Here is a 27,517-nt window from a genome sequence, read left to right as displayed (position 1 = left end):
TTCTATTTAAGAACATATACTGCATTTTTTCCCATTTAACTATTCAAGCCCAAATTCTTGCCTTGCTTTCAGTTTCCCCTGTCTTTTTTCGCCCAGCTTACCCTGATATTCTGCCTACTTTCTATTTTTTTCCCCAACTTTTATTTTAGGTTTGGGGGTACATGTTCAGGTTTGTTACCTGAATAAATTGCCTGTCGCTGGTGTTTGGTGTAAAAATGATTTTGTCACCTAGGTAGTGAGCATAGTACCCTATATGTAGTTTTTCAACCATCACCCTTCTCCTACCCTCTCCCCTCAAGTAGGCCCTAGTATCTATTCTTTCCATTTTTATTTCCATGTGTACTCAATATTTAGCTCCCACTTATAAGTGAGATCATTTTCTTTTCCTACATCAGTTTGCTTAGGAAAATGGTCTCCAGCTGTATCCGTGTTGCTGCAAAGGACATGATTTCATTTTTTAAAATGGCTGCATAGTATTCTGTGGTGTACATGTACCATATTTTCTTTATCCAGTCCACCATTGATGGGCGTCTAGGTTGATTCCATGTCTTTGCTATTTTGAATAGTGCTGCAGTGAACATGCAATGAACATATGAGTACATATGTCTTTTTGGTAGAATGATTTATATTCCTTTGTGTATATACCCAGTAATGGGATTTCTGGGTTGAGTGGTATTTCTGTTTTAAGTTCTTTGAAAAATTTCAACTGCTTTCCACAGTGGCTGATGTAATTTACATTCCCACTAGCAGTGTATAAACATTTTGTTTTCTCCACAACCTCACCAGTATCTGTTATTTTTTGGCTTTTGAATAATAGCCCTTCTGACTGGTGTGAGATGGTATCTCATTGTGGTTTTTATTTGCGTTTCTCTGATGATTAGTGATGTTGAACATTTTTTCATATGCTTGTTGGCAATGTGTATGTTTTCTTTTGAGAAGGATCTATTCATATCCTTTGCCCATTTTTTAATGGGATCGTTTGTTTTTTGCTTGTTGATTTGTCCGCCTACTTTCTAGTCCACTTTATTTTCCTTCACTTGCCTACAATTATGTGTACTTTTCCACCCTCTGATGCCCTGCCTTATCTTGTCCCCCCATTGGTAGTGCTCATCTTTTTTTCCACCTGTCCAAATCCTGCCCAAATTGCTTTATTCTCTGAATTGTTGCACTGAGAGCCCTCCATAGAGAGCATAGCACTGACTTGTTCTCTGAATTTTCCTTCACATCTGCAATCTTTCCTCTGGATTGTAAGCTCTTACGATCATCCCTGTATATTTTTCCAACCCTGTTGCCCTGTCCCCCTACCTGCCCATAATCCAGCATTGTGTGAAGTATAATAATAGTCTATCAAGTATGTCATTTATGCTGTTGTCTTTAGCATTATTCTTCAGATTGATACCCAAAAGCCCAGGAAATATCTTTGGCTCATCTTTTAGAATTTGTTTGATGATGAAATTTTGGGTTATTTTGGGGAATAATGATTATATTTTTATTTCTTTTTTAATCTCTCTGCTGCCTTCCTTTTGACCATTTTGCCTTCTTTGAGATATCTGTCCAAGTATGGGAGAAGAAAATGTTTAAATGTACCTGTGGGTGTGCATTATCAGTAATTCTAATAATGAAGTGCAGCATGAAGGTCTCAGCTAAAGACTTTAGTATTCTCTGAATTTTCTTTTTTTATCATAAATGGTCATGTACTTTGAAGAGCTGATGTCTTGTCTTACCATGACAAAAAGGAAAAAAGAAAAATTTTGCCATGTAAGAGTAAAGGATGCAGCCAAGTTGATTCACTCTTCTGGTTTTGGTGCTTTCACACGGTTGTAGAGTACTTGAGTATCGAGGATGACGTAGAAGACTCAAGTTTGCATCTTGACACTCTTGTTGTTTACTTGAGTTTCTTGAGTTAATCATATGAACTCTGTGAGCCCAAGTCCCTTTGGCATAAGTTATTATAATAATACCTATCTCACAATGTTGTTATAAGTTTAATGAGATAATGGATATGAATTGCCAATTACTAGATAACCATGGGTTATGGTTATTGAACAGGGAACTCCATTGTAAAGCTGTAACCTAAATTGAAAAAACAAAATTATTTAGGACTTACTCATAAGAAGAGATTATTTATTTATTATTTTATATAGTCACTTACTTTATTAGCATCTCTGGGAGTAATTTCAACTAAAGTGATATTTTTAATAAAAATTTAACAAGTGAGAAAATACCTCATAAATGAGATGTTGCTAATTGCAATTTTGTTAGCATTTACAAGAAGTTGATTTGTATGTTACCTTAAGCATAACATGTCAAATGGAAAGATTATATTTCTTTGTTATTTATTTATTTATTTATTTTTTTGAGATGGAGTCTTGCTCTGTTGCACAGACTGGAGTGCAGTGGCATGATCTCAGCTCACTGCAACCTCCGCCTCCCGGATTCAAGCAATGCTCCTGCCTCAGCCTCCTGAGTAGCTAGGATTACAGACGCCCGCCACCATGCCTGGCTAATTTTTGTATTTTTAGTAGAGACGGCGTTTCACCAAGTTGGCCAGGCTGGTCTCACCTGACCTCAGGTGATGCACCCGCCTCGGCCTCCCAAAGTGCTGGGATTACAGGTGTGAGCCACCATGCCCAGCCTCTTATTTGTATCAAACAAATGTATTCAAGCATCTTAGATTCTGAACCATCTTAGTGTAGTATAGGTTAACATTCCTCTCCTAAGATATACATGATATGAGTAATAAAATGTTTTGATTGCCTGACACATAATAAATGCTATGTAAGTTTTAGCTATTTTGTTTTTCAGTTTTAGCTATTATTGGGGAAGCTGAAAGGGAATGTAGTTCAGCTTCTAAAAGAGCTGATGTAATACATTACCAAGCTTTCAGCTTAGCTTTATACATAAGTGAATGTCATTTCTTAATGAGTATTTTTTGTAAAGCCTAAAATGTGTCCTGCAGTAAATAGAGAAATAACAACCACCAAAGGTCTTCCTGGTTTCAGGCCTTGCTGATGCATTTATTTCCATTCTAGAGCCAGAATGATTTTTCTGATGGGCAAATTTGATTATGTCGCTTCTCAATTTAAAACCTTTCAGTTCATTCCCGTTGGTCTTGGGATTCATTCATTCATTTGTATTTACCAAGAGGCAGACACTGTTCTGGGTGCTGGAGATAAGAGTAGTGAGTATTAAGTATGTATATGTTATACACACACACACACCATACAACATAGAACCTTGTAAATGGAATAGTATGGAGCTGGTCTTCATGTAATGCAGAGTTATTTGTGAGTTTATGAAACCTTGGAGTGAGTGCTGGCAAAGTATAGAAATTCAGAGGGCCTTGCTTATGATAGTGTCTAATGAGCAGTAACCATTTGTGTCTACCTTGGTCCCTGGTGTCCTCTTTAAGAAGTTCACTTTTTCCTTATGTGGATATCCTTTGTTGTTGTTGTTGTTGTTGTTGTTGTGGCTGCTGCTGCTGTCATCTAATCAACAGCAGATCTTGTAAGTTTGCTCTGTGGAAATACTGTTTTTCCAGTTGAGGCGGTCTTTGGGCTGCTTTCCCCAGCCTTCAGTGCCATCTTGAAATGTAATTTGTGATATTTCTTTACTCATTGGTCCCAGACTCTATGAATATTCCTGATAAGATAGCTTTTTTTCCCTCCAATCTTTTTTTTACTACAGATTTAGAGTAACACATTTCATTTATTAAATGAGACATACTTGTTTCTCATGGGTAATTTGTTACTAGAGGATGCTGTAAATTGCACTAGGCAACTTAAAGACATTGCTACTTTTTGATGACATGATAGAGGGAAAAATACTTTGGTTGAGTCATTTAAAAGAGTGTTTTAAAAAGTATGATGACTTAGTCATCATTTGTCATTTTATTCTTTTAAGTGTTTGGAAAGTATCCGTATTAAAATAATACCTTTAAAAGCATGTATTCATTAAATTGTCAAAATTGTCATTCAAAAAATTTATAATTTTGCATTTGTGTATGTGTATACCCACTATACCTTATGCTTCAGTGTAAGCCTACAATGTTTATGTAAGTCTTAGAGGTTAAATGTTTGTGATGTTTTATGCCATAATAAAAAGATGATTCCATATGAAGGTGTCAAATGACATTGTCTCTCTAGTGTAAATACAATTTTATTTATTATTGATACTATGTTAGGTCATGTTAGCTAGAAGCAGATCCCGGGACATGGATTTGGATTTATGTGATTTACTGCAGGAGCACTCTCAGGAGAACAAGAGTGAGGGAAGGAGGGTGGTCAGGAGACTAGCCTAAACAGGCATGTGGTCTAAGCAGTGGTCTGGATTCAGCCTGGACTCATGGGAAGTTTTGGAGCAAGAGCAAAGAGGCAGGCCTTTCATACCTGTGTTAGTCATTGGCTGCAGGCTGCTTGAGTGAGGGTGGAGTAGAGAATGATGGCATGTAACCTTCCAGGTGTGGTGGCCCCTGTCTACCTGAGGCCTTTCTCCAGCAGCCAACACTCACAGCAGCTGGAGAATAGATGCACCGGCCTGTAAAGGGGACCTGGCAGAACACCATCAGCACCCACTACAGGTGGTCATTAACTCCAGCAGTTAAGACATCACTATTTAGTTAGGCAAACAGCTTGTCTTTTGAGATATAAATAGAGAATTATTTATGAATATGCATCTTAGTCTTCTTTTGATTCTTATTTTAACGTATTTTTTTTTTTTAGTAAGATGCTCTGGTAATCATGTTTACCAGATTGAAATAAGCACACCTGGAGGCATAGCTAGTGTGGTGGATGACCAAGTCACCATTTCACAAGATTCCAGTAATCTGGAAAGATTAATTTTAGGAGTGATTAATATGATTCTTCAGTTAGTAGAAATTCTCTCGTATGACACAGTTGGTATGTGTAGGTAATTTTAAAAAGTTGGTTCAAGTGTGAATCATTTAAAAATCATTATATATTTTTTGAACATTTTTTACTTAAAATGTATAAGAGTACTTCACTTGTGAATCTTTGGATGTAAGCACAGGACTCTGAATGTAGGTTAATAAACAGTTTATTTTGCATAAACCACGGTTGAATCCATCATCTAAAAATAACAGTTTCAGGTTCTTTAGAGTGAGAACTAGCCAGATTTTAAGTAGTCTGAATACTCCCCCTAGCCTTTTATAGTTGTTTCACTCACACCTAATTTTTCAGCAGTTCCTTTCTTTAAAGTGTTTTGCTTTTATCTAGTCCTTTCAAAGCATTCATCCTCATTTTTCTCTTTGGCATGCACATTTCAGTGGTTCATGTAATATTTAATGAATTTACATAATAAGAATAACAGATACAACAAGTAGAAATAGGCAAAGCAACAAGTATCAGTGACTGGCATGGAACTGCATGGGTGCAGAAATACACATGTAAACTAGTCATAGATTGTCAGTGTGCAGTGGGTGTTTTCAGAGGGAAAGGGGAGTATAAGACTAAGTTGGTCTTAGGAGCTGGCTAAGTATAAGTCACTTAAGAGCATTTCTACTGTATTTTTTAAGTGGTAGTTCAAGTTCAATAGTTAATAAGTTTGTTATGAACCCAAAGTGCAGCATGGCTAGTAAACATTCTATTCAAGGTATAATTTTAAGCTGCATTAACAAAAGTTTGAGTGAAAGAAAACATTGCTCTCACCTTGGTTGAGCCATTCAGGTCCTAGTGAGAACAGCATGTCCAAGTTGAGCACAACAAGGAAGGACGTAAAGCAGGGGCCTCTGAACAATGGCTCTTATTCCTGGCTCGTGGTTGCCCCTTCAGAATAATGCATGTAAACGTGTACACACACAAAATTTTGCATGCATTTAATTATGTTACATTTTAAATTGATTGTTTTTACAAATTAAAAATATTTTCTAACAAATTAACCTCATACCATTTTAATGTAAAAATTAAAGGCGGCCGGGCGCAGTGGCTCACACCTGTAATCCCAGCACTTTGGGAGGCCGAGGTGGGCAGATCACCTGAGGTAGGTAGTTCGAGACCAGCCTGACTAACATGGAAAAACCCCATTTCTACTAAAAATACAAAAAATTAGATGGGCGTGGTGGCGCATGCGTTGTAATCCCAGCTACTTGGGAAGCTGAGGTAGGAGAATTGCTTGAACCCAGAAGGTGGAGGTTGTGGTGAGCCAAGATCGTGCCATTGCACTCCAGCCTGGGCAACAGGAGCAAAACTCCGTCTCAAAAAAAAAAAAAGATTAAAGGCTACTTATGAACATGTTTAATAAATTCAAATTTTGCAAATAAAATGAAAGATAAGTTTATGCTCAAGAAGACTGCTTTGGCTTGGCTTAAAAAATAAGTTGGAATTGTGCAGTGGTTTCTGACATGGCAGCATGGATGTCTTCTTGTTTTAAAACTGTCAGTCATTTTTAACTTTTCTTTATTATAGCCATAAGTGCTTAAAACCTGGTTCACAATAATTGTGGCAAATGGAATAAGAGCCACACATTTGGAAAAGCAAGCTGAAAAGAAACCTACTCCAAGGAACCAGAAATTTTTCTATGACACTTCCTTTGGTTCAGTATATATTATTTCTTATCGTCAAGCCACTGAAATCATTATCAGCAAAGATTGTCAACGTTTTGCTGTCTACATCAGGTAGAATAGAATTATAAATCCACATTTCAGTTTGAACAGAAGCGACCTTCATAAGATGTCTGCAGTGTTCTTCCAACCTATAGAAATGTATATCCAGCTTTGGAAAAATTTACATAGTTGATCCAGTTCTCTCTTCTGAAATGGCTGTTTAGCTAAAAGAGCACATAGGTTTTCAGCAGCATTCAAAATGGTGTCTGTAGGGCCATGAATTGAAAGATTTACGTCATTCATTTGGTCTCAAATATCAGCCAAGCTAAATCAGTAAGTAATCCTTCCTGTCATTTGTTCTTAGAATGTACTTTCCCTCAGTCTCAAAAAGTAGAACCTCTACCTCAAGTTCAGTCAAACACTGCAGGACTAGTCCTCTGGAATACCAGTGAACTTCATGATCTCAGGCCGAGTGTGGTGGCTCACGCCTGTAATCCCAGCACTTTGGGAAGCCAAGGCGGGTGGATCACCGGAGGTCAGGAGTTCGAGACCAGCCTGGCCAACATGGTGAAACCCCCATCTCTACTAAAAATACAAAAATTAGCTGGGTGTGGTCGTGGGCACCTGTAGTCCCAGCTAATCCGGAGGCTGGGATGGGAGAATCGCTTGAACCCAAAAGGGAGAGGTTGCAGTGAGCCAAGATCATGCCACTGCACTCCGGTCTGGGCGACAGAGCAAGACTTGGTCAGAAAGAAAGAAAGAAAAAAAGAAAGAGAGAGAGAGAGAGAGAGAGACAGAGAGAGAGAGAGAGAGAGAGAGAGAGAAAGAAAGAAAGAAAGGAAAGAAAGAAAGTGTGTTTAGAACTTCATGTTCTCTTTTGCTTTTCATTTCCCCATTCCCCTTTCCCGATGCCCCTTTCCCCTCCCCTTCCCTTCCCTTTTCTTTCCTTCTTCCTTTTTCTTTTTCTTTCTCCTTTTCTTTCTCTCTCTCTTCTTTCTTCTTTCTCCCCCTGAGACAGAGTTTTGCCCTGTTGCCCAGGCTGGAGTGCAAGTGGCACGATCTCAGCTCTCTGCAACTTCTGCCTCCTGGGTTCCAGCAATTCTCCCACTTAAGCCTCCTAAGTAGCTGGGACCACAGGCATGCCCCACCACACCCACATAATTTTTGTGTTCTTTGTAGAGACGGGGTCTCCCTATGTTGCCTAGGTTTGTCTTAAACTCCTGGGCTCAAGTGATTTGCCTGCCTCTGCTTCTCAAATTTCTGAGATTTTAACATGAGCCACTGTGCCCATACTTTGCTCATATTTTTTTCTTTCTTTCTTTTTTTTTTTTTTTTGAGATGGAGTCCTGCTCTGTCCCCCAGGCTGGAGTGAAATGGCGCGACCTTGGCTAACTGCAACCTTTGCCTCCTGGGTTAAAGCGATTCTCCTGCCTTAGCCTCCTGTGTAGCTGGGATTCCAGGCACCCGCCACCACGCCCAGCTAATTTTTTTTTTTTTTTGAGATGGAATCTCGCTCTGTTGCCCAGGCCGGAGTGCAGTGGCACGATCTTGGCTCACTGCAAGCTCCACCTCCTGGGTTCATGCCATCCTCCTGCGTCAGCCTCCCGAGCAGCTGGGACCACAGGTGCCCACCACGACCCCTGCCTAATTTTTTGTATTTTTAGTAGAGATGGGGTTTCACTGTGTTAGCCAGGATGGTCTCCATCTCCTGACCTCATGATCTGCCCGCCTCGGCCTCCCAAAGTGCTGGGATTACAGGCGTGAACCACCGCGCCTGGCCAACTTTTGTATTTTTAGTAGAGACGGGGTTTCACCATGTTGGTGAGGCTGATCTCGAATTCCTGACCTCAGGTGATCCGCCCGCTCCGGCCTCCCAAAGTGCTGGGATTAGAGGCGTGAGCCACTGCGCCCGGCCCCCTTGCTTATATTTCTTAACAGAGTATCTTGAAAAGACCTTGGCTCTGATGTAGTTGATAAGATTAACAGCGGTAGACACGACTTCTGTGAGGATTGCTAATTGAGCATTTGATGCCATTGCATGTTGATGCAGAAATTAGAGAGTCATACCTAGTAAGGCATGAAGGTAGTTTCTTTAAGCAGCTCCATCCAAGCAGGAAGTACTATTGTTTTATCTTTTTTTTCTTCCTTTGGAGACAGGATCATGCTCTGTCACACAGGCTGTAGTGCAGTGGTGCAATCATGGCTCACTGCTGTCTCAAACTTCTAGCCTCAAGTGATCCTTCTATCTCAGACCCCCAAAGTATTGGCATTACAGGCATGAGCCACTGAACCCAGTCCCTATTTTGTTTATCTTTTTTTTTTTTTTGCCAAAGGAATTTTCACTGTGGTAGTCTTTGCAGTTTCTTAAAATTACTTTAAAAATAAGATTACTCTAATAATGTCAGGGCACACATAGTGAATGAAAGGCAGGAGTTGGCTGCACTTGCAGGCAGTCATTCATCCAGTTGCAAACTAAAAGAAAAGAATATTGCCACCAGTTCCAGTTTCAATGGCCGCTCTTAAAATATTGGAGAACAAAAAGGTGGTCTGGAATAGATAGCATTATTCAACAGAAGGACTACTTTACTTTCTTTCTCTGCTCTGAGCTATAAACCAGCTTAACCAGGTAAGGTGGCTTCTTTAAGTTCTCTCCAGTATGGAATGTGTTTTCTTCCCATTTGGCAATGTGATAAACAGCTTTATGGGTGCTTCAAAAACAAAACTGTTTGGAGGCAACTATGTTTTAGTTACACAGCCTTCTTAGAAGTAAGATCGTTATCTGAAATACTTATTGTTTGGAATGTCGTAAGGCACTCCTTGAATGTTGGTAATAAGCATCCACTGGCACTTACCATGTGGTGAAGCATTGTAGCTTAAATGTTAATCATGGCAATTATAAAAGTAAAAACAAAATATTTGTGAGCTTCATTATAGTTTTTCCCTGACATTGTCTGATAGATGAACACAATTGCGTTGGCAGAGTACGTGGTCTTTAATTCATATTATTGGGAAACTTCTTGATGTTATCACATGGCAAGGATGATTGCGTATTATTTGACCATATAGATTGTAACATAGCAATCAGGATGATTTTATATTATTTGATCATATATATTGACATCCTATGCTACTTCATGCATATTTTGAGTGAAATACAATAGTTTTTAAAGTAACAGAAAGAAATCAAAGAAAAAAATATTTACAACCCCACACAACATATCAGTGGGACCTCCTAGTGGTGAGAGGTCTCGGAGTCATCTTACTTTGAGATTGGTTTAAGGAGGAAAGAGTATGGAGATTACATGATAGTGCTTTTAAATATTTAAAAGATTATCTTATAGAAGAAGAGTGATACTCTTTTTTAAGTCCAGAGGATATAGAAGGACAAATGAAAATTATAAAATGGCCTGCTTCCAGTCAATATAAAGAAGATTTTCTTTCAGACTAAGTTTCACTCTTGTTGCCCAGGCTGCAGTGCGATGGCACGCTCTCGGCTCACTGCAACCTCCATCTCCCAGGTTCAAGCAATTCTCCTGCCTCAGCCTCCCGAGGAGCTGGGATTACAGGCATAGGCCACCATGCTCGGCTAATTTTGTGTTTTCAGTAGAGACAGGGTTTCTCCATGTTGATCAGGCTGGTCTCAAACTCCTGACCTCAGGTGATCCACCTGCCTCAGCCTCCCAAAGTGCTGGGATTACAGGCCTGAGCCACCACGCCTGGCAATATAAGGAAGATTTTCAAACAGAGCCTCCCATCAATAAAATGGGCCGTTTTGCAAAACTTCCTCCTCTTGGAAGAGGGAGCACTGGGTCCATTCACTGTTAAAACACCTAACTTGCATTGTGACTTCTATTTAATCTCTGGTTCCCTATTTATTTGCCTATGAGGTCATTCACTTAAGTGAAGCAGGTAGACCACAGGTAAGACTGGCCCAGGAGTCAGACTGAATGGCAAGTGTGATCTAGGACAAGTGACCCAACTCTTCTATACTTCAGTTTCTTCATTTATAAAATGGAGATAATAGTTCTCACCTCCTTATAGGAATGTTGTAAGAATCGAATGAGTTTATATCATAAGTGCCTGACAAGTACTCAGATGTTAGGTTCGAACACCCAGCAGCCTGTGTGTCACATGGTCAACACCTATGTTGCGGACAGATGTACTAGGAAGAAGCTGAACAGCCATGTTTGGTGATCTTGTGGAAAGAATTCCTGGTTTTGAGAGCATAGATGGATTCCCTAATTTCTAAAAACCATAGTGCTCTGGAGTTAGGAACCTGGGATAACAAGAATTTAGAGTAAGTGCCATGTGTATGTAAGGAACACAGAAGTTTCAGGGCTGCTTGTGGAAGACTTTACCTTCTCCTGAGTTTATATAGTGGCTTTCCCTGTTGGAAGGTGTAGTGCATAATATTTTCTAGCTTCATTTTGTTGCTTCTGAATAGATAAACATTTTTTTATTTGTATACCCTAATTTGTTAGGTTCCAAAAGTTGTCATTTCATCTTGTTGATTCACTTCTGCCTTACTGAGGTCTCAACCTATAATTATTGGATTTCCGATGAGCTAATACACAAACCTTTGTGAACTTTTTCTGTGCCCTGGAATGTGTTCAGTACGTTTACAGTACTGGTTATATTAAGATCCAGAATGTCTGATTACTAGCGCTTGTGAGGAATCACTTTTTTGTTCATTTATGGTTCAGAGTGTGGTCCCTGGAGTCACACTCCTTGCATTTGAATCAGTTCTGCTGCTTCTTGCCTCAGTCTTTGGGCCAGTTCTGTAACTATTCTGAACACATTTCCTCATGGGTGAAGTAGAATTGCTAAAAGCACCAGCTTCACTGGCTGTTTTGAGGATTAAGTGAATCGATATGTTTAGTGCAGAGCCGGGCATCGGCAAGTCCTTAATAAATGTTGGCGCTCCTTCTCAGGATTATTAGTCTTTCACTGATCTCTTGCACATTGTGTGTTGGTACTAATCCAGTTCCCAGAGTACTGAACTGAATAACATACGGAGTACAAGAGCCCTTCCCTTAAAGCTCCCTTCTTCTAGTGGGTGGATTACAATAGAATTAGGTGGTAAATGCCATAGAGTGTGAATATTGATCTGGGCCAGAATTCAAACTAACTCAATAATGGTCTGATTAAAGCATTTAACAGAGAGACTGGACTTAAACATCCCAGAAAGCATTTGCCTTTTTAAACAGATTAACTGTAGAGGATTGACACCTTGTAGGGATGAAGTGGGGGACTCACCTTTTCATTCCCAAAGTGTTTTTGTTTTTTTGTCTTCCCTTCTTCCTCCCTCTTCCTTCCACTTCTTCCTGCCTTAGCCCACTTCTCTAAGAAAATAAATGCAGAGGACCTGCTCTGCCCACAGGCACAGTGCCCACATGGCCCCAATTCCTCCACCTGGAGGAGGGGCACCACACGTAGGATCATGCCCAACAGAGTCCTTATTATGAAAAGTGTGGCAAGGTTGACCTAGTAAGCTGTAAATTACTGCCCAGAGATACAAAAGGGCTTCTGTCGTATTGTATGCAGTTTAGGATCTTTTCATGTTTTAAGTCTGAAGATCTCTTTTGTTCATATAATGTCAGCTTATGTTGCTTTAGGCTTTTTTTTATAAGTATAGAGGAATAATTGAGGCATTTGATTTATATATATATGAAATTCTTATTAAGAACTGCCTTCATTTGTCTACATCAGTAATAAATATATATATATCTAGAAGTTTTATCTGATGTCTAAAATGTCCTGGTTGTTCCAGAATTGGATTGTGGTTAGTTGACCGTAATAACAGCTAGTTTTCTACAGCTAAAAATATTGCGGAGAGAATAACAGTAAAAGAGTAAAAGCATAATTTTGTCATCAGTGGTTAGATATGTAAACATTAAGGGTTAGACCTAGAAATATATTTGGTATAAAATTGAAGAAATCTATCAAATAACTATTTGAACTGGTACCAAGGGTACTTTTTCCTTTAAAGAGTGTATTTTTTGTGCATTAAATAAATTTAGTTGCACTAAATTACCATTTTGCCTGTGTAGCATTTTAATTCTTTTTATTTTTTCTTTTCATTTTCAGCTTATGGAAAAGTATTTCTAGTTCGTAAAATAAGTGGCCATGATACTGGAAAGCTGTATGCCATGAAAGTTTTGAAAAAGGCAACAATCGTTCAAAAGGCCAAAACCACAGAGCATACAAGGACAGAACGACAAGTCCTGGAACACATTAGGCAGTCGCCATTTTTGGTAACATTACATTATGCTTTCCAGACAGAAACCAAACTTCATCTCATTTTAGGTAAGTGTCAGTTGTTATCAGACTTTTTATGAAAACACTTTTCTTTGGGTCTTAAGTTATAATGTACTTAAAGGGCAAGATACTATGGACTTAGAAGAAGTGAAATATTTTGATTCTCATTCTTTGTGGTGGCATCTCCTGGAATATCATGCATTGCTCTGGATTTGAGGCCTCCCATTATGCCATTATGGAAGAATTTACCTCCTTCTATTCCACACTCTTTTCTTAGTCTTTTTTTCTTTTCTTTTTTTGAGGCAGAGTCTGGCTCTGTCACCCAGGCTGGAGTGCAGTGGCACAATCTCAGCTCATTGCAACCTCCGCCTCCCAGGTTCAGGTGATTCTCCTTCATCAGCCTCCTGAGTAGCTGGGACTACAGGCATGCACCACCATGCCCAGCTAATTTTTGTATTTTAAGTAGAGATGGGGTTTTGCCATATTGGCCAGCCTGCTCTCGAACTCCAGACCTCAAGTGATCTGCCCGCCTTGGCCTCCCAAAGTGCTGGGATTACAGCTGTGAACTGTCACTTCCAGCCTTTCCTTTATTAATGTTAAGAAACATTTGAATTGTTAGGGGTATCTACCTCCCTGAGCAGTATGCTTCCATTCAAATGTGAGGAACTGATTGGTGAAGTGGGCCAATTTCTGCTTTAGGAGTTCTCAGAATGAACAGGTTTAGGCTGACAAGGGGACGGACGTTCATGGAAACCAGTAATGGAGAAAAAGAAAAAAGAAAGAAAAGACTTCTGTTCCTAGAGATGCTTTGCATTCCTGGTGAAAAACTTGATTAGCTACTAATCAGTCAGCCCTTTACACTCCCATTTCCACCCTAGGCACTTTCTGAATCCATTCCTTTCTCAAATAGAGCTGGACCTTTATATATGATCTTTGGGAAAGTCCTCACACACATTCCCAGACTGCTTTGCAGAAAAGTTCCACCATCTTCTGTTCCCACTAGAGAAATGGCAGTGCTTCTAGTGTTCTACCATCGTTGAAGATTTTATCTGTTACCATTTTGGTCCCGTGCTTGTTTTAATTTGCATGTATGTGATATAACTCTCTCCTAGAATTATGGTAAGGATTAAATGAGCTAGAATTTCACATAGTGCTTTGCAAGTATTAGCTATTTCTTGAGTGCCTACAGTATGCCAGCCATTACACTAGGTGTATTCCATAATATCACTGACCCACACAAAGGCACTGCAGGATCCCCTCATTAGTGATGTCCACATTCTGGAAGCTGTATGTCCTGAAGTTACGTATCTTGTGTATGCTTGAAGATTGGAGCTCAAGTCTGAATCATTCCAATGTCTGTCTTCTGTTTCCCTAAATTGCTGCCTGTATTCTTTGATTATTGGTAATACAAACTGGTTTTTTAATATATATTTGGCCATTTTATTGAGTGCTTTTATATTAGAAATTATATTTTTATTAATGATACCTAAGATTGCATTCACCTTTTGAGCCATGATGTTACACTTCATGCTCATTTTGCAATGCTTACCATCAATTAACAATTCTAAATCTTTATTCATGTAGGACACACTCTCTTCTCTCCTCTTAAGAGTCCCCATTAATGTTATCATTTGCCTATTGTTCCAGTGAGTCAATATAATTTGGCCCTTCATTCTGCCTCCTGTGTGTATCTGCTATGTTATTGATTTTTTTGATATATATGTCTTCAGTATCTACCCACATGAACAACAAGACTGTTGTAGGTGACAGAGCATTCTAATACAGCGGTTTCAAACATTTTTAGTGCAGGACCCTTCCCTCAAATGAACACACAGAAATTCAAATGGAAAACAAATGGAAAGGAGTAGCTCTGCTTGTATCTGGGCCTAAGGGTACCAAGCCCTACCGGTTTATTTCTATTCTTTACCCTAGAATTTCCAGGAAAGCCTTAGGAAGTCCATGAGGACTGTTTGAGAAATGATTATCTTTTCAAGTTTCTCCCTTGACAATAAACTCATAAAAGTTAAATCATGTGTCTAAGGTTGTCCGAGTCAGAAGCTGGTAAGAAAACAGGTTCCTGGACTCTGCACCATTACTCTCTAGCCTGCCCCCGCCCTTTCTGTCTCCTCTCTTTTTTTTTTTTTTTTTTTTCTGTTCTCTTAACTATACTCAATATGCTTTTTAAAATTATTTAAAATTGTAATTTTTTTATAAAACATGTTAAATTTAGAAGTAAATAGATAAGAGTGAAATATTTTGTATTAGACTAGAAAACAGTAGTCCTTAATCATGTTGCTTTTTCGTTATTGGCTCTCCATTACTTTTGGCCTTTGTCATTGGCCCTAAATAAACAAATCCAAAACAAAACAAGAAAACCCATTTTTTTATGCTAAGTCAAGAATGGAACGTGAACTGGACAACATATTCATTCCACAGTGAGTGAGGCATTGCATTTAGAAATCATGCCCTTCTATCTTCTGTTCACATTAATTTATTTAACACAATTATTCTTTGTGCCTGTTTCAGCAGTTGACTTTTAAAGATGAAAACTTTTCAGGAATTTAGAAGAGGACCATAGACTGTTTTAATGGTTCAGTTATTTGTTTGCAGTGCCCTAATGCACACTAGGTCAGTTTCCCAAATATCGTGCTATACACTTGGTCCCTATATTAGTTTGCTAGGGCTGGGTGGCTTAAACAATAGACATTTATTTTCTCACAGTACTGGAGGCTGGAAGTCCAAGATCAATGTGCCACTAGGGTTGGTTTCTCCCACGGCCTCTTTCCTTGGCTTGCAGATGGCCACTGTCTTACCACCTCTTCACATGTTGTCCCCCTACGCATGTGTGCCCCTGGTATCTCTTTTTGTGCCCAAATTTCTTCTTCCTGTAAGGACACCAGTCAGATTGCTTTGGGGTCCACCCTAGGGGCCTCATTTTAACTCCATTTACAGTCACATTCTAAGGTACTGGAGGCTAGGACTTCAACATAATGAGTTTTGGGAAGATACAGTTCAGCCTGTAACAGTCCCAAAAGGTTTATTGGTTGACTGACTTTATCCAGCTTTTTGTGAGGTATTAGCAAGAACTTACATGTCTAGCTCTTCAGGAACCTTGCTAACAGTTTGTCTGATGACTAAGTAAATACTATAAATCTTTTTTTTTTTAAATATGTGTTTTCTTAAAGTTTTATTACTGCAAAGGCAGTATATATGCATACAGAAAATACAGGACAGCAAAAATAAGAAAATAAAAACTTATTTTCACTACCCAGCATGAACCTTATTATATACCCCTCTGTTATCAGTATATATTCTTCTAGGTCTTTTTGTCTGTATGTCTATCTGTGTGTTTTATCAAAATGAGTTTGTCCCGTATATGATTTGTAAGCAGATCTTTCCGTTAATGATATCTACCTTTCCCAGCTAATAAATTTTCATTTAAAACCCAGTTGTACAAGTTATTTATTGCTGTATAACAAACCACCTAAAATTTCATAGCTTAAACAATGATTTATTTTCTCATGATCCCATGGGTTGGCTGAGCAGTTCTCTAATGGTTAGCCTGGGCTCACTCACCTGGTGTTCAGATGGAGAGTTGGCTGGGCTGTGAGGTCCAAGATGGTTTCATTCTCATGTCTGGTAATTGGTGCTAGCTGTTAGCTGGGCCACCTCTTTTCTCCTCCATATGGCCTCTCATCCTCCAGTACAGTAGATCAGCTTTTTCATAGCATGGTAGTATCAGGGCAGCTAGCAACTACTGCCAAGAGGGCAAAAGTGGAGGCTGCAGGGCCTCCTGAGCCTGGACACTGGAACTCACATAGCTTCACTGTCAACACAAGACCAGCCTGGATTCACGGGATGCAGAAATAGACTTCACCTCTTGAAGAGGGGAACTAGAAAGAATTCATGGCCATTTGTCACACAAGTCCATTTTCATATTTTACTAATTGTAACATAATTATGCTTTACAGCTGTTTGTCCAATCCAGGAATGCTCACTTGGTTGTGTCCTTATAGTATCTTTTAACTTATTCCTGCCTCTGCTGAATTCTAGTAGTAATTGGGAAGCTAGATCTAAAGTCTCAATAGGTTAAACTTAAACGTTTTGAGCTGGAATACACCATAAATGATGTTATGTATTTCATGTTATATCACGTTAGGAGAAACCTATTATCCGATTTTTCCCAATTAGTGATTCTAAGATTAGATTACATAGTGACAGCCTGATCCCTTCATCATAAGGTTATATTTTTTCTCCTAGAAGTGAAAATATTCTGTGTGGTGTTTGGACACTATTTTTTTTTTTTTTTTTTTTTTGAGATGGAGTCTCACTCTGTCACCTTGACTGTAGTGCAGTGGTGCAATCTTGGCCCACTGCAGCCTCCACCTCCTGGGTTCAAGTGATTCTCCTCCCTCAGCCTCCCGAGTAGCTGGGATTATAGGCACCTGCCACCACACCTGGCTAATTTTTGTATTTTTAGTAGAGACGGGGTTTCACTGTGTTGGCCAGGCTGGTCTTGAACTCCTGACCCTCAGGTGATCCGCACGCCTTGGCCTCCCAAAGTGCTGGGATTACAGGCGTGAACCACCACGCCCGCCCTGATACTGGTTTTAACATAATATAACGTGGTTGTAATGTAACATAACATATGAACACCATATAATTCATAAAGCTTTTCCTTGTTCTTTTTTTTATTCCTGCACAGTCCTTCGTTCCATTCCATTGTATACTTAACTGGTTCCCTGTGAAGGGATCCTTGGGTTATTGTTTATTATCTTTTCTTATGAGGATGCTTCAGGGATAACTTGCACGTATGTCATTTTCTACTTGTTTGGGGGAAAAAACCTGTAGGCTTGATGAAGGGAGATTGCTGGGTCTGTGTTTTCACCATCTCTTCTTTTTTTTTTTTCGAGATGGAGTCTCGCTCTGTTGCCCAGGCTGGAGCGCAGTGATGTTGATCTCGGCTCACTGCAACCTCTGCCTCCTGGGTTCAAGTGATTCTCCTGACTCAGCCTCCTGAGTAGCTGGGACTACAGATGCATGCCACCACACCTGGCTAATTTTTGTATTTTTTCAGTAGAGACAGGGTTTCACCATGTTGGCTAGGCTGGTCTCCAACTCCTGACCTCAAGTGATCTGCCCACCTCGGCCTCCAAAAGTGCTGGGATGACAGGCATGGGCCACCACACCCATCCTTTTTTGCCATCTCTAATTTTGCCAAATACACTTCCATAGAAGTTGTACCATTTTACATTCCCATCAGCATTGTTTGAGAGTGCCTGTTTCTCCACAGAACGTATTCTCAAACTTCTGGGCATTTGCCTGTCTCATAGGTGAGTAGTAGTGTCTCATTGTAGAGTTAATTTTCTTTTTTTCTTTACTGAATGAGGCCGAACATCTTTTCACATGCTTAAAAAGCCATATGTATTTTTTCTGAGAATTATCTATTTGTACCCTTTGCCTCTTTTTTTCCTCTCAATTTCTAGGAGCTCATAAAGTAATTAATCATTTCTGGTAGGCATTGTAAATACTTTCCCGTTTCCCATGTATTTTTTTGAGTTTGGTTATGATGCATTTACCATGCAAAAATTTATGTATAGTAAAATTTATTTTTAAAATTATTTTTATGGCTTGTGATTTTGAGTCATAGTCAGAAGACCTCCTCTACTCCTCTACTGAGTTTATAAAGGAATTAACTGATGTCTTCTTCCAGTACTTGCATGGTTTTATTTTTTGCATAGAGAACTTGGATCCATGTGGATGGCGTATGACATGAAATAAGGATCCAACTTAATCTTTTTCAAATAGCTAATTTTCCCAACACTGTTTAGTTAAAAGTCCACATTTACATTGAGTTGAGGTGCTTCCTTTTTCCTCTATGAAATTCTCATATATGTTTGGGTCTATTTGATTTTTTTCTGTTTGGTTTGTTAAGTCATGTACCAGTACTATACTGTTTTAATTTATCAAGGTTTTACAATGTATTTTAATTCTTGGTAAGGTTAGTTGCCCTCTGCCCCTGATCTTTCATTGCCTTTATTTTTCAGAGCTTTTTGGAGGACTCTTCCTGTTGGTTTATTTTTCAGCATGAACTTTAGAATCACATTGTCTGGTTTTGGGGGGAAAAACCGTAAGGTATTTTCACTGGAATTGCTGTAAATTAAAAAATTAATTTAGGGAGACTTGACATTTTTATGATATTGGTTATTCCAATTCAAGAACATGGTATGTTTGCTGATGTTGAAATCCTTCTAAGACCTTCAGGTGTGTTTTAGCATTTACTTCCTAGCCATGTTTCTTAACTGAATCTTAGATATTCTGTCATCTGTTGCTTTTGTAAATGGGGTCTTCTCTTCCACCATACCTTCTAGCTGAAAGCTATTACTTTTATATATTAGTTCTATATCCTGCTATCTTACTACATTTTCCTACCTTCCCACATTGCTCATGTCTTGCCCAGTTCCTTCTTAGCCTGCCCTGAACCATGTTGTTTGGTGTATATGGGTTTTCTTTCTCTCAGTTTTGCTGAAGGAGTAGGTCATGGAGGTTTACAGCTTTTCTTGCTGTTTTTAAAGATGTTTTAGGAGCAGATGTGGAGATTCATGTCTAGGCTGCCATCATGTGCCTACTAGTATTTATGGCTCACTGTAGACTTCTTGATGGGGCTTGTTCCATTGGGATTAAATTCGCCTTGTTTGCACAGGCTTCTCCAAATGATAAGATTATTACAATGTTAGTATTATCTTGCCATTTGCTTACCTGTGACATTTTGCTTTTAGTAACCAGATACGGAATAGACTAGCATTTCTACTTGAACTGAGTATGTGTGATTGTTTCCTACAATATGCTGTATTTACTGGTAGTTGCCTTCTCTTTATTTATATTGTATCTGTCATCTTGTAAATCAGGCATCAGGACTTTGACCAGTGAAGGGCTAGATGGTAAATATTTTAGGCTTTGCAAGCCTTAAGGTCTCTTTGACCATAGGCAGTAGTGAATAAATAGGCATGGTAGGGTTCCAATAATTTTTTTTTCTTTTTGAGATGGAGTTCACTGTCGCCTAGGCTGGAGTGCAGTGGCGTGATCTCGGCTCATTGCAACCTCTCCCTTCCAGGTTCAAGCGATTCTCCTGCCTCAGCCTCCCGAGTAGCTGGGTTTACAGGCATGTGCCACCTCACCTGGCTAATTTCTGTATTTTTAGTAGGGACAGGGTTTCACCATGCTGGCCAGGCTGGTCTTGAACTCCTGGCATCGGTAATCTGCTCGCCCTGGCCTCCCAAAGTGCTGGGATTCCAGGCATGAGCCACCGTGCCTGGCCCAAGTTCCAATAAAATTTTATTTACAAAAATGGTGGTGGACCAGATTTGGCCTCTGGTCTGTAATTTGTTGACCCCTGCTTTAAAGTTATCTATTGTTAAGTCACATTTCTGGTTTTTTTTTTTAATTCAACAACATTAATATCTTTTAAGCCTCTGATTTATAGCTAATGATATTGGATTTGGTGGATTTTTCCCTTTATATTTCTTTTACTTTTCCCAAATCTTGTAACGTGGAGATCATGTCTCCTTTTATAACTTTTTCTGTACCTGTGCATGGTTACAACAAGAGATATAAAAATATTTTTATCTGTTCTCTCTCTCTTAAAACTCATATTTATTTCAACTAACACTGAGAGGGAATTCTATGTGGAAAATAATCTGTAAAAATAATTTTTCTTTTGATGTTTTCTGGTTTCTGTTAGTGGTGATTTTGTTGAAACACCAGCTGATCTATGACTGTAATAAATTGTTACATTAATCAGAATTCACAAGATGTTAAATAAGCAAATCACCAAAGTGTTTGTAAAGGTAATGCCAAGGATCATTCCCAATAATGAATGCCATCCCAGCCTTGTAGACAGTTTTGTGATCATGAGTCATTCTTTCAATGGAGTTAAGAGGTATTTAAAAATTAAAGTTTCACTTTTGAGTATTGGTTTCATCTCAATAATTGTAAGGGTGAGCAATAATTGTAATTGCTGAGATGGTAACAGAATGGTTCATGATATATTACAGTCACTAGTATGACGAAACAGACAGTAACTGAAAACACTTCCTTGCTTTGAAGTAAATATGACTAATTCACAAGATTGATAAGATGTTCTTAGTCAGAACTTTGTAATGATTTTGATAAGCTGAAATGCATTTATAGAGTGTACTATTAGAATGTTGAGCTAAAACCAAACAAAAATAAACTGAGATGGTTTTGGCATGACATTAAAAAGAAATGACTTTCAGGTTTGTGTGGCATGTCACGTTAAGACTATATTTTAGATAGAAGATAAGAAAAGGGAGCTATCAAGAGAGATTTGGGTGGTCCAGAGGAGAAAGAGTAGGTAGAAATGAGAACAGGAGGTATGGGAGTTCATGGAAGTGAAGCATATCAGAAGGAAGAGGAAAATTTGTAGGAAAAAAAATAAAAAGAAGACCAAGTAACAGTGCAGAGAGAGAGAGAAAAAAAGAGAGAAGTGGTCTGAATCATAGGGGGCATGTGGGAATTAATAACAGCTCTTTGGAAGGTGCCACCATTTAAGAAGAAATATGAGAGAGAGAAATTCTAAGTAGGAGAATTTGAAATAGAAAGCTTAGATGTCTAGAGGTCAGCCAGAGTATTACTGGAAATAAGTAGGTGTTTGGGTGTTTGGAGAGTGAAAGCAGAACAGAATCTTTCCTTGAAAGCAGGAGATGTAGGATTTCTGTTAACTCTACGACTTCCCCTCCTACAAGCTGACTTCCATGCAATTGCACGAGCAAGACATAGCCTTAAAATAAGCTTGCTAGCCCTTTCTGTGGTTATCCTTTTGCATCTTAAATGGAAAATGGGCTATTTAGGCTGTAGTTTTTAGTAATACTTTAAAGCTTATGTAACCCAATGTCTCTGTGAATTTCACTTTCTCCATCTGCTAATAAAAGTGTATGAACTGCAGAACAATGGAGAGATTTCTGAGTTCAACGTTAAGTCAAATCAGATGTGCAAAGACGAGCAGCCTGAAACTGTGCAACAGTATGTACTTAGAAAGTCAGAATTTTGATGGAGAGCACGTGCTGTTTTACCCTAACGTTAATTCCATAAGGTATTAATTGTCAGAATGATATGAGTTGCTTAAGAATCTTGGAAATTTTGTAGAGATCTTCAGTTCAAATTCTCAGAATTAATTTACTGTTTTAAGAAACAAATTTACTGGTTTAAAGGCTATTTTTCTCTCCTCCATTCTCTACCTGCCTTTCCATATACATACAAACACACATACACACACACGGCTTGCTATTCTGAATCCAAGAAGGAAATATTATTTCATAATAACAAAGTGAAATCTACTTGCTACTGTTAAATATCTGCATAAATTATGTGTCATTGAAATGAAATATAAATTGTTTTCCTAATATGAAAGATGTGTGACCTAAATTAAAGGGCTATTATTCTGCTAAAATAAAAAGATTGTTTTGGTTATTAACTGTGTGATCTTGAACAAGACACTTAAGTTATAAGCATGATCTACAAGTTGCTAATATATCAGTTGTCTTTTTCTGCATAACTAACCCAAAATTCAGTGGGTTAACATAACCATTTTTGAGGGGCTCAATTTGGGCTGATCCATAGAGGCAGTTTTTGTGCTATTTTGCTGCCTTTGAAACACTCTTTTCCTTTTTGCCCTTTGCAAAGGGCATAAAGTTAAGTAATATGAGGACTGAAAAGTATTCATTGACTCTAGTAACAAGAGGTTATTTTTAGCTTTAAGTTATGGTGTTATCATGGAGGTAGAAGTTGTACTGTAGTATGTTAAGGAATGAATAGAGGCTGTGGTAGACTGAATAATGTCCTCCCAGAGATGCCCACATTCTAATCCCCCAGGACCTGTCAGTATGTTGAGCTACATGGTAAAGAAGAATTAAGATTACAGATGAAATTAAGACCACTAATCAGCTGACTCTAAAATTGAGAGATTATTCTGAATTATCTGGTGTGGGGCCAATGTAACCACAAGGGTCCTTACACAATAGGAAGAGGGAGGGAGGGAGGAGAGAGGAGGGTGAGAGGGAGATGTGTCTACAGAGAAGGTCAGGTGATGCAATGTGAGAAGTGACTCAGCTGCCATAGCTGCCTTTTAGGATGAGGGAAGGGACCAGAAGCCAAGGAATGTGGGTGGCCTGTATCTAGAAGCTAGAAAAGGCCAGGAAACAGATTTTTCCCTGGAGCCCCAGAAGAAACGCAGTCCTGCTGACACCTTGATTTTAGTCCAGTGATGTCCATGTCAGACTTCGAGTGTACAAAATTATAAAATAATAAATTCATAGTGTTTACGCCACTAAGTCTGTGGTAACTTCCTATAGCAGCAATATGAAGGGAACAGTGGGTAAGGAGCATCAGCCATGTAGACCACGCTTTAAAGAAGTTTGGCAGTAAAATAAAGAAGAAAGACAAGATGGGACACGTGGGATTTAGGGAGGATGGTAGTGTGTTTTAAAATGGGAGAAATTTTATGTTTTTGAATTTTCACATTATTTGTGTGATTTCTGTGTTATTTTTATGCTTCTTAGAGACACAGTATCAGAGTGCTTCATCTGGCATTCCAAATACCAGAACATAAAAATCTTTAAAAGCAAGTTAATTGCACTTGAATAAAAACCAGATATCTCTGCAATTTTAAAACTTAGGATTGCACTGAAATATCAGTTATATAAGAAAATCTCTCTTTAGCTTAATACTAAGTAATTAGACCCTGGTAGTACTTTATGGAAATATATGTTAAACATTCATAAGTCTTAAAATTATGACCACATTGAGTATGTAAGTCAGGGCACAATAAATTTGATTTTTATATTTAAGTCATTATAATTAAGCTTGACAGTATTTTTCAAGTCTATAAATTGTAACTGATGCCTGTAAATAATAATAGGAGCTATTAGTTATTATTTAACAAATGCCTACTGTATGCCTGGCTCATAATCCTCAGTAGCTCATTTAATCCTCATGACAATCTTATGTGGAAGTTAGAATTATTTATATTAATATTTTGCAGTTATAGAATATTAGTCATCCTACATATAAAGAAGACCATTTAAGAAATACAAAGGAATTAAGATATAATCATTTACATGACATTTCTTTTAATCAAGAAACAAATCATTGGCACAAGGATCATATAAGGTATTCCATTGTATGGACTGTAAGTCAATTTCAATGGGATGATAAATGTTTTTTGGAAGGGTCACATTAATGAAATTTGCCTGACAGCTTCTGAGAACATGTATTAGAGTTAGCCCTACCTATTTATTTTTAATTATTGTCATAAAGATGGACTATTGATAGTTTTCTTTTGTTCTTCAGTTGTAAACAGAATAAGTCTGAAGACTTATCCTGAATTTATCTCTTGGAAGAGCTCAGAACTTGAGACATGCCCATCAAGAAAGATGTTCTTACTGTTATTACCAGTTCTCTTTTGCTTTCTCTCTTCTTTTCTATTTCTTTCTACTCTTTATCAATGCTGAAACTTAAGATGAAGAATCTACCTTAATACTTATGTGGCTACGGCAGTTAGTTACTGCAATATTACATGTTTACTCATTCCTTGCAACTAGTATTAGTGCCTTGTATTCGATAGGGCTAGACCCTGTGCCTGGCAGAGAGAAAATTGTCCTTGGACTTTAGTCTGCCTCTTTGGTGCCAGATCCCAACTTGACTTTCTGGCAGAATACATGTAAATTAGCTTTTAGAATAAAATGTACAATATGTAAATAAAGAGGTATGACTCCGTTGGTACACTGTACTCTCTAAAGCTTAATTTTGTATGTGCCTACTATTTTAGAAGCTTTGGAGATATTTTTTATGTCTTTAGGAATTTTGTGTTCTTCCCCCTACTCAAACATCTCTTCATCTTCCTCTACTAACAGAAAGGGTTAGTATTCTATGAGTAACTGTGTGCATAAACTCCTGAAATGCTTTATTTATCCTTTCCTCTAAAGTAAAACCTTCTGTTTTTGGAGGATGTTGCTTCTCTAGCAGCCCCTGTCACAGAAGACCACCTTCCTGTACTCAACAACATGATGATAGTTAAACATCATTTTAAAAAATCATTTCTCAACAGAGTCTTGTTTTTCAAAGAGCTTTTCTAAGCCACTTCCCTCAATTCTGTAGCTAATTGACTCCCAGGACACATATCTGCGTTTCCAGTGACATTCATCAGACGTAGTTTCCCTTTCCTCCAGTTTCCTCCCATCACTTTCTACAACTTTAGTACCAGTATTGATAACCAGTTCAATACCATGCCAAACCTCTTTCACTTCTTTTGCTTCATTTACAAGTATAGCTGCACATTAGGCCTTATCAGTCAAACCAGTTGCACCTCTAAGACCTCAAAGTCTTTAACCATAATCTTCCATCATTTTCCTTTCTCATACTCCCCGAGCATTTTTTAAATCCCCTCTGAGCCCTACCTTCTTTTGAGCCTTTCCTATTCTCCTACTTCCTTTGGGTTCCATCTGCACCCTTACTAACCTAGAATCTGCCTTGGCTGGCACACTGGCATTGCTTGCCCTCTTCACCTTCCTCCTTGCCTGACATTGCAGTCACTTTGATTATTCTCTGAACTTGTCTTCCCAATACTAGATTGCTAAGCTTTCCTCGTGTGTCAACAAAATGTGTCACCTGGGTCTGGCATGAAACCCATGCTGTCAGTCTCAGCAGAGCTTCACAGGTTAGTGAGCATTTTACCCCTCTCTCGTGAACTGCATGTGAACTTTCCCAGCCTCTTATTACTTCTCAAACCCACAATCCCATTACTGTCTTCCTCTCTGTCTGAGATGATCAGGTCCAGTTGCTACAAGCTCTCAAGTTTTCTTCCTTTCTCCTTTCTTTTGCACCTTAAAATCCTCTGTATCTTGGAAATGTATGTCAGATTGGCAAAAATTTAAGGTATTTGATATGAGAACTTTTTTTTTGTTGAGACAGAGTCTCGCTCTGTCGCTCAGGCTGTAGTGCCATGGTGCGATCTCGGCTCACTGCAATCTCCACCTCCCAGGTTCAAGCCTCAGCCTCCCGAGTACCTGGGATTACAGGTGCCCATCACCACGCCCAGCTGATTTTTGTATTTGTAGTAGAGACTGGGTTTCACCCTGTTGGCCAGGCTGGTCTCGACCTGACCTCGTGATCTGCCTGCCTTACAAAGTGCTGGGATTACAGGCATGAGCCACAGCGCCCAGCCGATACGAGAACTTTTTAAGAGGTATTTACTCACTGTTGGTGGGTGATATAAATGGCTTCAGCCTTTTTTTGGAGGTACTTACCAAAAATTGGCAACAGTTATCAAAATTTAATATGTATGTTTGTTGTGACTTGCCAATCCAAGTTTGTTTGTTTGTTTGTTTGTTTTGGTTTTTTGGTTTTTTTTTTTTTTTTTTTTTGAGACAGGGTCTCACTCTCTTGCCAAGGCTGGAGTGCAGTGGCACTATCATGGCCCACTGCAGCCTTGACTTCCTGGGCTCAAATGATCTTCCTGCCTCAGCCTCCCAAGTAGCTGGGACTATAGGTGCACACCACCACTCCTGGCTAAATTTTTTTGTATTTTGCAAAGTCAGAGCCTCACTATGTTGCCCAGGCTGGTTGTGAACTCCTGGGCTCAAGTGATCCTCCCATCTCAGTCTCCCAAAGTGCTGTGATTACAGATGTGAGCCACCACATGCAGCCTCAGCAATCAAATTTTAGGAATCCATCCTACCAATTTATGCCTGCCTAAGTAGATAAAAAATATGTACAAGGTTGTTTCTTGTGGCACTATTACTAGAATGAGAATGTCAGTACAAACTAAGGTTGTCTGTAGGCCAGAAAATCCTACACTTCTGTGCTCACAGTCAAAAAGCATTTTAGATGAAGGTGGCAAATATTTTTATTGTAATATTTATGTTTTGTAGTACTTATTTGTTATCAGACACTACTCTTGGCATTTTTTTATATATTATTTTTTTCAGTCTTTGAAAGCAACCCTTGAAGAAATAGATTATCATCTTTGTTTTATAGATGAGGTATCTGAGGCTCAGGGAATAAAAAAAGGCGCCCAAGGCTACATAGCCGGTATGTGCAGGAGCCATGCGACTTGATTGCTATACACAGCTTAGCCACATGTGTTGCCTTCTTTGTTTTATCAGGAGAAGCAGCATTATTTTTATTATCAGAAAATTAGAAATAGTGCTAATGTCTATTTTTTGACCCCTTTCAATCCTTTCCAGTCCGTTTTTTACATTAATATTTGATTAGTCTTCCTACGACACAGCCATGATTGGGTCACTCCACTGCTTGACGTCTCTCAGTGACTTCCATTTACTTGAAGAGGATATATTCTAAAGTCCATTGTAAGGCTCTCAAAACAATCTGACCCCAGCCTCAGCTTGTCTTTCCCTCCCAGTCTCCCACTACTGTGCTCTGATACCTGTGCACCAGCCAAGCCAAATAATCTACTCCTCGGTGAACATGTATTTTTCTCTGTTTCACTTAAGTAGTAACTTGGCTCAACTCTGGGTTGCTGGGTTTCAATATATCCTAGCTGCAGGATCCTAGGCAAGTCGCCTAATCTCTCTGATACTCTGCTATCCCATTTACCTGGAGTTGATTGGCTTAAATGGAATGATCTATGTAAAGTGTGTCGTATCGCCCCTGGCAGATAGTGAT

The 27,517-nt window shown here is 38.8% G+C and overlaps 1 protein-coding gene across 14 annotated transcripts in view, besides 1 other annotated feature; it reads left to right on the top strand.

Moving 5' to 3' along the window:
- The window catches only part of RPS6KA5 (ribosomal protein S6 kinase A5), a 212,781-nt gene that overhangs the window by 69,471 nt on the left and 115,793 nt on the right, over window positions 1–27,517 (top strand). For 12 of the 14 annotated variants that reach the window (NM_001322228.2, NM_001322236.2, NM_001322231.2 and 9 more), the window contains one exon: window positions 12,647–12,865. The exons of the other annotated variants lie outside the window; for them this stretch is intronic. In NM_001322228.2, the coding sequence (NP_001309157.1) occupies window positions 12,647–12,865 (219 nt within the window). The remainder of the gene's footprint in view (window positions 1–12,646; window positions 12,866–27,517) is intronic. 14 annotated transcript variants of the gene reach the window in all.
- Window positions 5,123–5,172: an enhancer, noted in NCBI's record as "active region_8884". NCBI's record gives its function as "activates an Ori minimal core promoter by ATAC-STARR-seq in GM12878 lymphoblastoid cells {active_cell/tissue: GM12878}" and the evidence as "EXISTENCE:reporter gene assay evidence [ECO:0000049][PMID:35858748]".

Source organism: Homo sapiens, chromosome 14 (assembly GCF_000001405.40).
Source record: "Homo sapiens chromosome 14, GRCh38.p14 Primary Assembly".
In the NCBI taxonomy this organism is placed as follows: domain Eukaryota; kingdom Metazoa; phylum Chordata; class Mammalia; order Primates; family Hominidae; genus Homo; species Homo sapiens.
This window is presented reverse-complemented; position numbering and strand designations above follow the sequence as displayed.